The sequence below is a fragment of the Homo sapiens genome, chromosome 17 (genome assembly GCF_000001405.40).
Source record: "Homo sapiens chromosome 17, GRCh38.p14 Primary Assembly".
Taxonomy (NCBI): Eukaryota; Metazoa; Chordata; class Mammalia; order Primates; family Hominidae; genus Homo; species Homo sapiens.
The window spans coordinates 51037908-51054252 of record NC_000017.11 but is presented as its reverse complement, the minus strand read 5'-3'; the positions used below and the strand labels follow the sequence as shown (position 1 = coordinate 51054252).

General features: G+C 37.1%; 1 protein-coding gene across 10 annotated transcripts in view; it reads left to right on the top strand.

Annotated features, from left to right (window-relative positions):
• SPAG9 (sperm associated antigen 9) overlaps positions 1 to 16345 on the top strand; it is a 158695-nt gene that overhangs the window by 66616 nt on the left and 75734 nt on the right. For 6 of the 10 annotated variants that reach the window (NM_003971.6, XM_005257771.4, NM_001130527.3 and 3 more), the window contains 2 exons: positions 6784 to 6878; positions 12602 to 12752. In NM_003971.6, the coding sequence (NP_003962.3) occupies positions 6784 to 6878; positions 12602 to 12752 (246 nt within the window). Of the gene's footprint in view, positions 1 to 6783; positions 6879 to 7374; positions 7754 to 12601; positions 12753 to 16345 lie in introns of those variants that run through there. The other 4 variants (XM_005257774.5, NM_001251971.2, XM_017025284.3 and 1 more) reach the window with 1 other exon arrangement.

The following is a 16345-nucleotide window of genomic DNA, read 5'->3' as shown; positions in this document are numbered from 1 at the left end:
CCCAGCTATTCAGGAGGCTGAAGTGGGAGGATCACTTGAGCCCAGGAGGTAGGGGATACAGTGAGCCAATATTGTGCCACTACACTCCAGCCTGGGCAACAGACCCTGTCTCCAAAAAAAAAAAAAAAAAAAAAAAGCCCTCACATTTTAATGACATTTGTTAGCCATTAAGGTTTAATTTTAGTGGATATTAAGATTTAATGGCATTTGGTGGATATTAAGATATTAAGGTTGCTAAAAGGCCTGTTACTGATTTTCACATCATTCATCTCAGTGCCTAAACAATGTACTCTATGTACTGTTTGCTTAAGTAGTACTTATTAAAGCTGATAATTATAAATACATATATGTTTTATATATATATATATATATATATATATATATATATATATATATACTTTTTTTTTTTTTTTTTTAATTAGGGTCTCACTCTGTTTCCCAGGCTGGAGTGCAGTGGCGCAGTCATAGCGCACTGCAGCCTCAACCTCCCGGGCTCAAGCAGTCCTCCCACATCAGCTTCCCAAGTAGCTGGGACCACACACGTGCATGCCAATTTTTTTTTTTGTGTGTGATGGAGTCTCGTTCTGTCACCCAGGCTGGAGTGCAGTGGCTTGATCTCAGCTCACTGCAACCTCCGCCTCCTGGGTTCAAGCGATTCTCCTGCCTCAGCCTCCTGAGTAGCTGGGATTACTGGAGTGTGCCACCACGCCTGGCTAATTTTTGTATTTTTAGTAGAGGTGGGGTTTTCCCGTGTTGGTCAGGCTGGTCTCAAACTTCTGACCTCGTGATCCATCTGCCTTGGCCTACCAAAGTGCTGGGATTACAGGCGTGAGCCACCGCTCCTGGCCAGTGCACGCCAATTTTTAAAATGTTTATTTCATTTTTATTTTTTGTAGAGATAAGGTCTCACTATGTTGCCCAGGCTGGTCTGGAACTCCTGGGCTCAAGTGATCTCCTACCTTGGCCTCCCAAAGTGCTGGGATTATAGGTGTGAGCCACTGTATCCATTATAATTGATAAATTTATAATTTATAATTTTATAAATATATTATAAATATATTTGGGGGAAGTAATTGATAGTGATAAATAATAAACAACGTTTTTGTTTTTAAAATGAAGCTCTAATCTTTTTTAATAATTGAAAATTATTAAATTATGCTATATTAAAGTATAAAATATAAAATACATACTTTTTTTTGTTTTTTGAGATGGGGTCTTGCTCTGTCGCCAGGCTGGAGTGATCTTGGCTCACTGCAGCCTCTGCCTCCCAGGTTCAAGTAATTCTCCCACCTCAGCCTCCCAAGTAGCTGGGATTACAGGAGTGCACCACCACGCTCGGCTAATTTTTGCATTTTTCATAGAGATGGGATTTCACCATGTTGGCCAGCCTGATCTCGAACTCCTGACCTCAAGTCATCCACCCACCTTGGCCTCCCAAAGAGCTGGGATTACAGGCGTGAGCTACCATGCCTGGCCTAAAATATATACATTCTTTAAAAATAACGGTAAAGTGAAATTTCATATTTTTTCCATATATTTAATAAAGGTGAAGATACGCTTCTATAAAGAAGCCTGACATACTAATTTTAAATGAAAACATATACTTTTTTTTTTTTGTCTATTTCTATTCCTTGAGGAAAAGATAGTCTAGGAAGAAAAAAAGATCTCAGGAAAAATTTTAATTACCAAGTCAGAGAGCTAGGTCTGTCCAGTAACCAAGGCAGATTTCCCACGCCGCCCAAAAGCTCTTTTCATAGATCTCCTCCCTCAGTTATGAGCAGCTTCTATCCTCTGACCTGATAGGCTCCCTATATTTTGTTTTGCCTCAAGGAAGGAAGGTTTATGTAACATATATAGGGCTGCTTTGAAATGTGGGTCTGTTCTGCTCTAGCCCACAATTTTTTCTGTTTATACATCTGTTCTAGAGATGTCATTCAATTAGCAATTATAAATAGCTATCTAAAGCCAAAGAACTAGGCGCCCTTAAAACATAAACTCTGAAAACATTCAGGGAAAGGAAGCCTGAAGGGGTTTAACCTTAACCTTTTCACTATTATTTCCAAAGAAGATAATGTCTTTTAATAGTTGTTTAGCACTTTTATGAAACACATTCATTGTTGCTTAAGGGAAACCTACCGTGGCTTTTTAAAATTTGATTTAAGAATAACTATTCTTAAATTTAAATAGTCAACTATTCTTAAATCAAATTTTTGTATACATTACTGAATTTGCTTAAAAGACATGCCTTAAAGAGGGCAGTGGAAGAAATATAAAGGACAATTTTGAAGCACTCGGGCCCACATGTGTATGCTAATCACCAAAAACTTTAGCCCTTTGGAATCTTGGGAGAGTCTCACATCAGGGAGTGTTTGAATGCATTCTCATTTTATCCTTTGACCAAATTCTCATCCATTCCCATTTTACAGATTGAGGTTTAGAAAGAGTCTATAAAATGATTTGCCCCAAATTCTAGGCTAGTTAGTGACTAGATTTGAAGCCAGGTTTGTCAGATTCTATTGCCTGATTTTTTTTTAAGAGGGAGTCTCGTTGTGTTGCCCAGGCTGGAGTGCAGTGGCGTGATCTCGGCCCACTGCAACCTCCGCCTCCAGGGTTCATGTGATTCTCCCACCTCAGCCTCCTGAATAGCTGGGACTATAGGCACATGCCACCACGCTCGGCTACTTTTTGTATTTTTAGTAGAGACTGGGTTTCACCATGTTGTCCAGGCTGGTCTTAAACTCCTGGCCTCAAGTGATCTGCCCGTCCCGGCCTTCCGAAGTGCTGGGATTACATGTGTGAGCCACAGCACCCAGTCTCCCTGAACTTTTAATAACACTAACACCTTGGCCGAGTGCAGTGGCTCACGCCTGTTATCCCAGCACTTTGGGAGCCGAGGTGGGGGGATTATCTGAGGTCAGGAGTTTAAGACCAGCCTGGCCAACATGGTGAAACTCCATTTCTACTAAAAATACAAAAATTAGCCAGGCATGGTGGCAGGCACCTGTAATCCCAGCTACCTGGGAGGCTGAGTCAGGAGAATCGCTTGAACCAGGAGGTGGAGGTTGCAGTGAGCTGAGATTGTGCCACTGCACTCCAGCCTGGGTGACAGAGCAAGCCTCCGTCACAAAACAAAAAAACACACTACACCTTTAGTTCCACTAGACATTTTTCTTTTCCCTCCCTCCCTCCCTTCTTTCTTTTTCTTTTTGTTTTTTTTTTATTTTTAAATTCTCTTTCTTCCTTTCTTTTCTTTCTTTCCTTCCTTCCCTTTCCTCCCTCCCTTCGTTCTTTCCTTTCTTCCTTCCTCTCTTTTTCTCTCTCTCTTCAGTTGTTTATTGCTGAATTGACTCCTGAATGTGTGAATTAATATGCATACCTGAGAAAATTGAGAATTGCAGTTCTGAGACCAGAAGCAATGGACCTGGTGGACCCAAGAATAGATTATCTGAAGCGTGTCCTATTTTACTTTCTCACTTCTCTTTTCTGTCTAACAACACTGGTGCTCCCTCCCACTCACTTTTTTTTTTTTTAACCTGAGTGATACTGTGAGGCCTTATTAATATTTAAATTGTTATGTATAATTTTTGTTCTTTTTTGTGTGTTTATAGACTATAGTGCATATCATTTTATTCCAGACATCAGGAAATGCTTTAGGGTATGGGATTTTCTTGTGGGTATGAGGAAGAAAGGACAATGGGCTCATTGCCTGCTCAGAGAATTAAGTACAAAGGCGGCCTGAGTCCTGTAATTCTTAATAACTCAGATGACTGAGTCAGGCAGGCCAGAGTTCTGGCCCCAAAGCTAGTGACAACTTGAAAAGTTAGTCATTGACCAGACAATCAACTTGGAGTTTACCTATGAAATCATGATATGGTGAGGATTAAATGGAGAAAAAATGGCTGTAACTGCACTGACTGACTTATAATTGGTGCTCAATAAATAATAGCTGCCATTTTGTTGTTATTGTTCTCTCTTTTCTTTTCCCCCTCAGTCATTTTTGGTTGTCAGTTCTTTCCTTTAAAGTGCTAGTTTGGTTGAGTTAGAATTGATTTCATTATATAGATAATTTTGGAATGTCAGAATACTATATCTGTAATTACATTGGACTAGTCATTAAAAGAAAGTTTAGAATAAGATAATAGAGAATCAGTCTGTAGAATGGCTATTGGGGGAGAACTATTTTTGCATTTTGCTTGTCATTCTTTTTCTATATTGAGTTCATAGATTACTATACAGCAATCTGGGGTGAGTTTGTTTTCTTCATCTGAATGCTTAAGGAAACTTAGGTCCTCCATTTGAACAAATCAATCCCATACATACAATTACTTTACTATCCAGTGTATATAAGAATTCACGGCTGGGCGCCGTGGCTCACACCTGTAATCCCAACACTTTGGGAGGCCAAGGCGGGTGGATCACTTGAGGTCAGGAGTTTGAGACCAGCCTGGCCAACATGGTGAAACCCCGTCTCTACTAAAAATACAGAAATTAGCTGGGTGTGGTGGCGGGCACCTGTAGTACCCAGCTACTTGGGAGGCAGAATCGCTTGAATGTGGGAGGCAGAGATTGCAATAAGCCGAGATCGCGCCACTGTACTCCAGCCTGGGCGACAGAGTGAGACTCATGGTTCACTGCAGTTTTGATCTCCCTGGCTCAAACGATCTTCCCACCTCAGCCTCCCAAGTAGCTGGTACTACAGGCGCATCCCAAAATACCCAGCTAATTTTTAAAAATTTTTTTGTAGAGACAGGGTCTCCCTGTGTTGCTCAGGTTGGTCTCAAACTCCTGGGCTCAAGCAGTCCTCCCACCTCAGCCTCCCAAAGTGCTGGGATTACAGGCATTAGCTACTGCACCTGACCTCTTTTATTTTTAAAGTGGTTTTTTTTTTTGAGGGGTCTCATTCTGTTGCCCAGGCTGGAGTGCAGTGGCATGATCATAGCTCACAGCAGCCTTGAACTTCTGGGTCCAAGCAGTTCTCCCACTTCTGCCTCCTGAGCAGTAGGGACTATAGGCGAGTGCCTGCTAGTTGTTGTATTTTTTTTTCTAGAGCTGGTGTCTTGCTGTGTTGCCCAGGCTGATCTCAAATTCCTGGCCTCAAGCAAACCTCCTACCTCCCAAAGTGCTGGGATTACAGGCGTGAGCCACTGCAAAGCCTTAATTTAGGCCTTCTAAAACCTTTTGAAAATTTAAATTGAGATTGATTAAGCCTGACAGTCACTTTGTTATATTAGTTTCAGTTTGATTTTTGTTCCTGAAAATTCTTCCTGACACAAGGAAGCTCATTATTTCTGACTTGCTGATAGATGAAAGGTGTATTTCTCCAAAACTGTTGTGTAAATGGTGGTAAAATCTATAAATTTAAAATAAAAAGTATGTCAATTAAAAAATTTTAAGATACTATATTCATGTGATTCTGTTTTCATTCTTTGTGGATAACATTTGTTGTTTGGACTAGTCTTCATTGAGGAACAGTCTGGTTAATTTGTTTTATTTCATGCATCAGAGTTCAGCTTTTTGTTTATTTGATGATAAATAACATCTTAAAATTAACTTACATTTCCTAATATTTGTACATGCCAAATAAAATTTCTACAACAAAAGCAAGCTTTGTAAAGTGAATTTAAACTTTTTAAAAATTTTATTTTGTTACTTAATATGCTACAGTGCATATTTTAAGTTATAAAGAGATTGAAATGCATCTTAATACAGCTAAAGTTTAGTGACTTCCAAAGCTATTCTATGTACAGCGTTAAGAATTCAAGTAATATTCCTTAGGAATGGTGAGAAGGGACATTAAAAAAAAAAAGAATTCAAGTAATATTCCCAAGAAAGACATCAACCTTTGCTTGCCTCTTAATATTTACACCCTTTAAATACTAACACACTATTTCTTGTTTTTTAAAATTCATTTTTTTCTTATTCATATCATGTTAGTATCTCTAGCAAAGGCCTTTTGATTTTATGTCTTAATTCCAAATTTAGGCTTTTTAAAAGTGAAACTATATATTATCAAGAATCAAATAGGACATTAGAAGTTCTTGGCAGTTTATGTACTTTATATTCTTGAAGTTTTTACTTTCTTATTCAGCTTGTCTGTCATATGATTCCTTATCTAAGACTCAAAAAGTATTCTAATTTTTTACATTTGTATTAATTTGCTGCTGTTATAATAGATGATTATACCAAGTAATGATACCAGTAACAGTCAAAGGAGAAAGTATTTTAACATTCTTTCAACTAAATATACCGAAAGAAGAAACTTTTCTTGGTATTAAATTAATTAAATTGAAAGTGATCTTTATTCTGTTAATTCCTTTTAAAATGGAAGAGATCAGCACATAAGGATATGGTTTCTTCAGAAGTTTCACATTAATTTCTTTGTTGTGTCTCATTTTAGTGAATGGCTTTCTCAAATGCCATCTATTATTTTTAACCAATGGTCTTTTATGACTTCTTTCCCAGTGTCTGTTTACTAATTTGTGTTCTTTATATCAATATTATTTTAATAGCATCACATATTGTAAAAAAAGTGGGTTTTTTTTTTTTTTTTGCCATCCTAAGCAAGATATTAGCTACTTTTGTGGACACCAGCATCCTTAAATGTAAGCATTTGCATATTACTTTCCCTTAAAATTTTTTTCATTCCTTAATATTCTCTTACTTGGAATCGAGTAGTCTGATAGATAAGAAAATTGTACCAAAATGTTTTCCTTGTTATAACACTATGATTTTATTCCAGGTATTAGCCTTAAATATTGTGTATTTTTTCTTTCTTTAAAATAGATGATCCATAATTATATGGAACATTTAGAAAGAACAAAACTTCATCAGCTCTCAGGGAGTGATCAACTAGAATCCACAGCTCATAGTAGAATTAGGTAAGCTTTGTTATATATTTTGCCTTGAGAAAAAGTAAAATAAATAATATGTTTGTTTCTGTTTTTCTCTGTTCTTTAATCCTGGAACAATAGTTAGGCTGATTCAAAAAGCTCTCCACTGTGGTTGGAATGCTGCAGGAGAGAATAGCACAGAAAAGTAGAAACGGTTTTTACCATTAAAAAGATAAATTATGAGCCATCCATATAAGCAGCACATTGAGTATTTAGATTGTTTTCTGATACTTGATGGAGATTATACTAGGTTTAAAATTTTGTAATTTATGGGAATGCTGAAATATTTTATTTCTCCCGTGTAATTGGTTTGAAGTCCTTTTTGTTACAGAGAGGCATGTTTGAAAGGGTTAGCTAGCCATCTGTTTGGTGTAGGAGTGTGAATAAATTATGTAGATCTTCAGGCATTGTAGCCAATGAGCTAAGCCAGGACTCTTAGTGGAGGGGAAAATAGTTAATAGGCTGGCTGTCGCTTGGGGTTGCTGCATAAATGCTAGGAGCAGCAGCTCTATGGTTATGAGGTGGGGAGAACGGAATGACGTCATCGCTTGGGAGCTGCTGCAGGATGGAGTGGAAAGCTGCTGCTGATGGCATTGTTTTTGTGGCAGCAAGCTGAATGACAGATCCTCACTACAAAGATACCCCTTTGGCCCCCGTGTAGGCCTCCTTGGTTCGGGTGTTTCACCATGCCAGCACAGCGCCATGAGTCCTGGATGCATGCTGCTGTTTGTGTTTGGCTTTGTTGGCGGGGCGGTGGTCATTAATTCTGCTATCTTAGTATCTCTCTCTGTTTTGCTGCTTGTGCACTTTTCTATTTCTACCGGTGTGCCAGCTCTGACGCAGAACCTACCAAGGATACTCAGGTACTCCCATCTCTCTTAGAAGCCCCTGCTTAGCTGGTTTTTATTAAATTTTTAGCTCAACGGGTCTGCTTTGTAACAATTTCTGTTGCAGATTGAAACAATGGAAAATGGCCTGAAGCTAGGATTTTTGATTCTAATTTATAGTAATTTATAGACCATCAGTTAGGATTATAGCTTTATGTTTGGAAACCACTAACTAAAGAAAAGGATTTTCATATTGTACTTACACACAAGTACAAGGTCAGTGTGGTCTTGTTTTAAGCAGAATGTTCAAAGTAAAAGAAGAGCAAGAGTAGAGCACCGGCTCCAAGTTTATACAACCTCTGCATTTAGCTTCTGAGCATTTAGGGACAAATATCTTTTATGCTTGGACTTGCAGTCAGTTAGATACAGGCCGTAAGCTTATTTTGTTTTAATTATCCTTTGAATGATAGAGTTTCAGGTATCATTTTTGTAATTTTTGATAATAGCTCATGGGAACTGACAATTTAAATATTTTCCTCCTAAAACAAAATATGTTTTAAAGTGAAAAAATTTAAGACTTTTAGGTTAAGGAATGCCTTTTTCCCCATTATTTACACATCAAAGTTGTGAAAGCTTTACAAAGCCTATTCACTATTGTTTTGTCAGATGTTGCCCTTTCTTTTCTTTGTAGTCTTGGGTGACAAATATCCATGCCTGCTTGTGGGGGTAGTCATTAATCTCTGTAGCTTTACTGTTGCTCACTCTACTTACACCCTGTAAGAGCCATCTTCTGTATTTTAGAGGCTTAAGGTTGTGGTTTCTTTTGTTTTCTAAACCGTCAGACTAGCAGTCTCTGATTTGTTCAGATTTCTGCTTTGTGCATGGTTTTAAATGAAAGTTCATAGTATATAGTTTTTATTTATTATTTAAATGTTTATAAAATATTTAAACCCTAATTGTAGATTTAGATAAATTAAGAAGAATTAAAGTAGTAACTTCCCTTAATGTGTTTCTTTTTATTCATAGGTCAGTTCAAGTTTAATATTAGTTGAAAGCCCAGAAATTAAATTTCATCAATGACTTAAAACTAGATACTTGGTCTTTTATTTTCTTTCCTGATTTATAAAAATTGGGAATAATCTTACTACTTGTATATATATTAGTACATAAAATATTTGTGTACGTGTATCTGTATATTTAGGCTTTGAAGAAATTAAAAGCAACTGAACTTAAGAATATGTAGAATATTAATATAAGACTAATGTTAAGGGGATGTCTTGGGTTTAGGCTTCATTTGAGAGGGCAGTGCCGTGAGCTGCTGTGCGGCGCCTGCAAGTGGGTACAACAAGGCTTTGGAATTGAACTGCCTGGGTGCAAATGCTCTATTGCACGTGGCCGTAGGAGCTTTGGCAAGTTGCTTAATCTCTCTGCCTGAGTTTTCTCTCCTGATGGGACTTACCCCGTTGGGTGGTTTTAAAAATCAAGTGATTTTATTATTTTGTATTTAATTATAGTTGTAAGATATATGGTAAATTACTTGAGTAAATAATTTTCAGTTACTTATATGTGTCCATTTTTAGCAGAAATTGTTTTAGCTACAGCTAAAATACCTTATAATTAAAATTTTAAAGTTCTTTACCACAAAAATTGCTACTGATCTGATTAAATAAAGATATCAAAGTCTTTGATATTAAGATTAAATTGTCAAAAAGTTGGTAGTTCCAAGTAGGAAGTTCCAAGGAAAGCAAAGGGCTTGGAATTGAACAGTACTGGCTTTGAATCGAAACTCTGCCAATTACTAGTGCCTAAAATCTCTGAGCATCACTTTTCCTACTCTGAAAAATTGGAAAAATAATCCCTGTTTCTTGATAAGGATTAAATGCGATAATGTAAATAAGTCATCTAGCTCAGTACCCACCACGTGGTGAGTGTTCAACAAATGTACTTTTTCTTTTATCTGCCTTTATATATAAAGCAGATTTTACTAATTAGTTGTATCAAATGTGAATATAGCCAAAAAGCTGTTCCAAAAATGTAGTTGTAAAATTATTTATATACATAAGCTAACATTTAATAACCAACTCAAAAATGGATATATGGAAGTAGGGCAATTAAGAAAAAAGAATTCTGATAGTTGTTGATAGCTTCGTTTTCTAGACAAGTAATAGCAGATGTTTTGGTCTGCAGGTATAAATCTGCCACTTGATAGTTTTCCACGTGTATCTCATTTTTTTCCTTCTTCTGTGAGTTTGAAGCATTTAATGCATGCCAACATAGTACTGGACTAATGTTTACCTTTCAGGGTTTCTTTTCAAAAGTAGGATTCTCATGAACTTGCCTAATTATGCGTCCTTCTCTCCCTTACCCCAACTGTATGTAATTTGTAAGTAAAGTAAGGGGAGGAGTATGTAGTAATTATTTTTTCAGAGTTGGAACATTGTAACCTAGAGCATCATTGACCCACTTGACAGATAGCTGTCAGTCTCTGAAGAGATCTCCCCTCCCTGTAGAGTAGTTTCTGAATGATTGATACAAGCAAATTAAAAAGGTGGGAATTCTATTTGCAATTTGGGTTGTAGATTTTGTTGACTGTTGATTGTAGATTTTGTCAACTGATTTTGTTTACTTTTTGGAAAGTAAAATTTGGATTCATAGAAGACTCCCTCCCCCAATAGTTTTAAACTTTTTCAATATTTGTTATGTGTGAAAATGAATGGCTTATATTTTGATTTCTATTAGTGTGAGGGAGTCTTATGAAGTCTGTATATCATCTTCCTGGTTGTCTTTGCATTTTGAGTTAGAGAGCTTTCCATTATATTCAGTCATTAAATTCCCAGTCACCTTTTGCTTAACTCATTAAGGTATGTTAGAAAATAAATAAAAGTCAGCTAGTAGCTCTTAGTCCCCTTGGATTTTCGGTTCACAAAATATGGGGGGAAAACATCAGATTGACAACTTTTTATTTTGTCCAGAATGAATATGAAAAGGAAATCTAGCTACTTATCACTGTCACCATCATTTAATGAAAGAAAGGGCATTTTAAAATCAAAGAAGAAGAAAAGATGTAATTTAAAATAAGGGTCAGTCATTTTCAAGAAAGAACAGGGTTCTATAGTATATGGGAATGTGTATGTGTACAATAGGTACTATATTATCTATGCACTAAGGAAATAATAAATAACGCCTCTTTTTTCATGGACTTATTATAAAAACTTTGTTGCTGAACAGCATTTGGGAATAACTGGTGTAAACATGGTAGCTGACTAGTCACTTTAATTTTTGTCATTTGGTTGTCCCGGCAGCTCATAGTCGCAAACTTAGATTTGGTGTTAAAATTTACCCTCTTGGCCAGGTGTGGTGGCTCACACCTGTAATCCTAGCACTTTGGGAGGCCGAAGCAGGCAGATCATGTGAGGTCAGGAGTTCAAGACCAGCCTGGCCAACATGGTGAAACCTTGTCTCTACTACAAATACAAAAATTAGCCAGACGTGGTGGTAATGCCTGTAATCCCAGCTACTTGGGAGGCTGAGGCAGGAGAATTGCTTGAACCTGGGAGGCAGAGCTTGCAGTGAGCCGAGATCGTCCCACTGTACTTCAGTCTGGGCAACACAGCAAGACACAAACAAACAAAAACTACCCTCTTATTGTACTGCCTTCCTGCTTTTGAATTTTCCCCCTAAATCAAAGTTCTGTTTTTAAATTTTATTTCCTTGTGCATACAACTTTGACTAAATGTAGTCTCTCAACCCCTTTGCTTCACCTCATTTTTAAGAAGGCATTGGGATAGTTTTACTAGTCCTTTTAGATTGTTAGGAATGGAAGAACACACCCTTTGTATTAAGTGAAGACACATTTCAAAAGTGGCTGAAGTTTCTTGGAATAAAAATGAACTACAGAATTAAAGACTTACTTAGCAAAACTGAAATTTTCCCACTTTAATTAATGAGCTCATTGTTTTTATTCTAACTTACATTCTTACCAGTAGAGGTAGGAATTCCAGGAGGCACCAAACCTTTAGTGTATCATTTCTTTCTAGTTTCTACACTTTTGAGTTAATGACCCAGGATGACCCGTTAGTAGGCTTGTTTCCACCCTCTAAAAGCTCTTCGATTTGGAATCTTGTGTGCATCAACAAAGGATGTGTTTCTCGTTGAAATTCTGTTAGTATTAAAATTGTAACTCTTGTTCATTGAAACTTCTCACAAAGCATTGGAAATTCAGTAATCTTTTATAGAATTATTTGACCTTCTTATTTGGAAAAAACCGACAATGGTTTTCTCATATGTACTGTGCTTGAAAGGAACTCATATAGTGGTTCTGTAGAAAAACAGAGCTTTCTTACTTGGGTGGTGGGGAGAAAGATATTTTGAGTTCTTTTCATCATTTAATAGGTAGCCCTGATTTAGATAATATATTGATTTTCCTCTAGGCAGGAAAGTCATACCCTGAAGAAGCTTCAGTAAACATCCAGGGATTAGCGAGAGGATTTGGGAAGAAATGGGTTGGATTCACTTCCAAAGAAGGAGGTTGCAAGTTCCCTAGGGCTAAGCTACGTATGGTTAAAAACCCAGCAGCAGCTCTTCTCCAGACCACACTAGACCACTGACTGCTTCTTGGGCAAGGAACTCGTCAGTAACTTTTAAGATTTCCTTAACCCTTCTTACCACTTTTCTTAGTTGATTTCTTGAGGCTAATTTCCTGAGGCTAACTAAACTGAGACTGTCCTTCCTCTTTGGTAAGTCTGTTTTATTCAGATGGGCAGACAGTGTCATTTTTGAGTGATGGTTGTAAAACAGTGGCAGTCCAGGCTTATTACTTATAGTCATGGCAAATAAAAAGTCAAAATAAATGAATGCCGAATTTTTTCTCCCCTCTTCAAATAGAAAAGAACGCCCTATATCATTAGGAATTTTCCCATTACCTGCTGGAGATGGATTGCTTACACCTGATGCTCAGAAAGGAGGAGAGACCCCTGGATCTGAGCAATGGAAATTTCAGGAATTAAGTCAACCACGTTCTCATACCAGCCTGAAGGTAAGCTTTATGCTGCTGAAATTGTGTCAGTTTATATTTCATAAACTTTCTTATCCTAATTGAAGTGCTAGACGACCACAGTATAGTAAAATGTAATTGTTTGTATACATTTAGTTTGTAAAATTGGTTTTTTAAATTGGAAATGAGCTCTTACCAAAGAGTGTGTTTTTTACTATTTTATTTCAAATTATATAGGAAAAAAAGTGAAGCATTATATCATCTTGATTAGTATACTAATGACAAAAATTAATTTCTATTTGATTTAGGCTATATGAGTTTAGAGTAGGGTAACTAGTGAACCTAATTATATTAGAATTGAAAATCGCTATTACCAGAAAGTCTTGGTTCATGTTAGAGGCTTTCCAATTTAGTAGGGTTTCACTTACAGAAAAACAAAACAAAACAAACACACTGTTCCTTCTTTAAAACCGCTTCATAGAGCAGTCTACAAAAATGCATTATGTTTAGCTAAAAAGGCGTGGTGTAAATTAATTATAGATATGTTCTTGACCAAGAACTTGTCATCAAATAAGTGATAAATATAAACAATAATATATGCTGAGTGGATATAAGCTAATAATTAACTTTTAAGAATATTTGAAGTTCTGTATCTTTTAAAATGAAATATTCATCATATTGATTATAAAAGATCTTTTGTTACCTTATAAAATCAACTCATCATGAAACAGGCCACCTGCAATGAGTAGAAATGAGTTACATGTATCTTATTTCCTTTTCCTGCTTTATTTTTCTCCATAATACTTATCATGGTCTAAGCATGTAAAGATAGCTCTTAACAATGCTTCTAAAATACTGTCATTTACTGTATTTAGTTGCCTCTAGACTCTTCCCTAAGAACATAAATTCTATGAGGTTTATTTACTGCTGTATCCCCCAGCACTTGGAAAAGTGCCTAGCACATTATAGGTACTCAGAACATGTTTGTTGAGTGAATGATTTGTTTTAGATGTTAGAAGGAATCTTTGGGGACAATATAAGTGGTCTTTCTCTCAACTCTAGAATGTAGAGGCATTCAGAATCATTCTATTGACCTTTGAAATGTGCTCAAAACAGTAAGCAGTTGATAAATATTTGATAGCTTTTCTCCCACTGAAAATCATTTTTAACAATAGGGGTTACCTTACCTTTTCTCCCTTCTTGCCCCAATTTGTTAGAAGCTAATAGTGCTCAGTATTAGCCCACAGTGATGTTACTGGGCAACTCGCTCGCTCTCACTTTTTTTTTTTTTTTTTTGAGACAGAGTCTTGCTGTGTCGCTCAGGCTGGAGTGCAGTGGTGAGATCTCAGCTCATTTCAACCTTGGCTCACTGCATCCTCCTCCTGGGTTCAAGCAATTCTCCTGTCTCAGCTTCCCAAGTAGCTGGGATTACAGCACCCACCACCACACCTGGCTAATTTTTGTATTTTTAATAGAGACAGAGTTTCACCATGTTGGTCAGGCTGACCTCGAACTCCTGACCTCAGGTGATCCACCCGCCTCAGCCTCCCAAAGTGCTGGAATTACAGGCGTGAGCCACTGCGCCTGGCTGCAACTCTCTCTTTCTTTACTTCTGTACCACAATGGGTCTTTTAGCCTTCCTGCAGGTTTAATAGATTTTCCAAAACACTCATCTCTCAATTGCCTACTTGCTGTGTGTGCTTTCCCAAAACAAAAGTAGGAGGGATACTTTTAGTACAAAAAAAAGTATCCCATATGGTAACTATATTTTAATACTACCCAAAAGTGCGCCTTAAGAGATTATTATAATTCTCTTTATTTTTTACTCCACTGATAGGCTATGCCAGAACTTTATTGACAACTTATAAACCGATTAACAAATTATTAGTATAGACTTAAGCAGAGGAGTTTCTCGTGTCCTCCCTAGAGGAGGACTTGCCTTAGTATAAGGCAGGTACTCACCAGAGAGTTTCTAAAACAAAACCCTGTCTCTCTCTACTTGGTCTGGAACTGGAGCCACCGAATGAGATAAAGACTCAATGAATAAGGATTTCCAGGAATGGGGTGGTGCTTACAAAATGGCAAAAGTCTAGTTTGTAAATCATGTTACTAGTTGGGATGTACAGTATTTTATTTTTCACCTAAGCCCTTGTCGTTCACTAGATAACTTTCTACTTTACCAGGGCTGGAAGTCAGGGGTTTAGGATTCACTTGTGGGCTATGCCACAGGTATGTCACATGCCCTGTCATTTTGGTTTCTGTGTATAACAGGAATTGGACTAGACTCTAATTTAAAATATCATTTCCCCTGAGATTGAGGATGACCTAGCCATCTTAGGGCATGTTTTGACTTCATTATGAAAAAATGGAAGGTGTAAATTTATAATTAATGTTAGTGTTACTACCACAATTTTTCTGTGAAGTAAGGTTAAGGTGAAAATTTCCTGTGAGAGAACGACAGAAAACTTTGTGGCAGAATAGCAGCAGATAAGGGGATTTGCCAGTGATTGTAAAGTTATGGGCCTTCTTTGTTGGTGTATTACAAATTTCTCACTGTGAGAGACCTGTGGTGAGTGAGGTTGTAAATAATCTAATAGATTTTCTAGGAATGATGCACCTAGAAAAATGTACAAGTTCTTAAAAAGAAATATTTGTACATATTCTTGATTTATCACAATCTCATGGAGATCGACAAACAAGTAAACAAATAAATGAAATAATAGAACTTCAAGTATTGTTAAAGCAAGGTAAGCTAAAGAGTAATTAGTAAGGATGGGTACTCATTTTAGGGTATGAGAGAAAGCCTCTGGAAGATGACTTTCATCCTGACATGGGGATGTGCAGGTGCATGGAAAGGTCTGGAGGAGTACGTGTTGAGGAAGATGAGATGGCAATTGTGAAGGCCCTGAAGTGGGGAAGCACTTCAGCATGTTTAAGTGGTGGTTTTCTCTTCATCACACTCAGACTTTCAGTCCTACCTACTGCACCAACATGCCTTCTGTCAAGGGTGCCAAAAGAATCCATCGTTCCAAATATAATGGAAAATTCTCAGTCCTCATCTTACCTTTTAGTAGCATTTATATATTTCAATATATTCAGCTTCTTGAAATACTTCCTTCAGTTTTCTTCCAGGATTCCCCATGGCAAACACACACTGATTTTCTTCACCATTCCTTCTCCATTGCTGGTTTCTCTTCTGCTTTTGGACCTCTAAATGTTGGGGTACTCGTCAGCCCTTCTTTTTACTTAATCTGGGTAGATCAAATTCCATGTCTGTAAATGCCATCTATGCATCAGTGCTCACAAATTTGAATCTACAACTCATATCTCTTCCCTGGACTCTAGACCTCTGCATCTAATTGCTTTTCTTTATAGTTTCCTCACATACATATGCTTTACCTTGCCTAGATTACCACTAGTAAAAATACCCTAATTCAAGGCCAGTGCAAATACCACAGTTTACATGTAGTCTCACTAACGCCCTAGAGACTAACACCCTGTTGATTGTCCTCAAATCGAGTTTGGAGATCAGTTCAAGAAGAAAGCAGAGGAGTTTTGTATTGCTTCATTAACAGGAATTTCGTACCGGGGGACTTCTAGTGAAATTGATAAAAAGAAACTCCTTATATTAAATT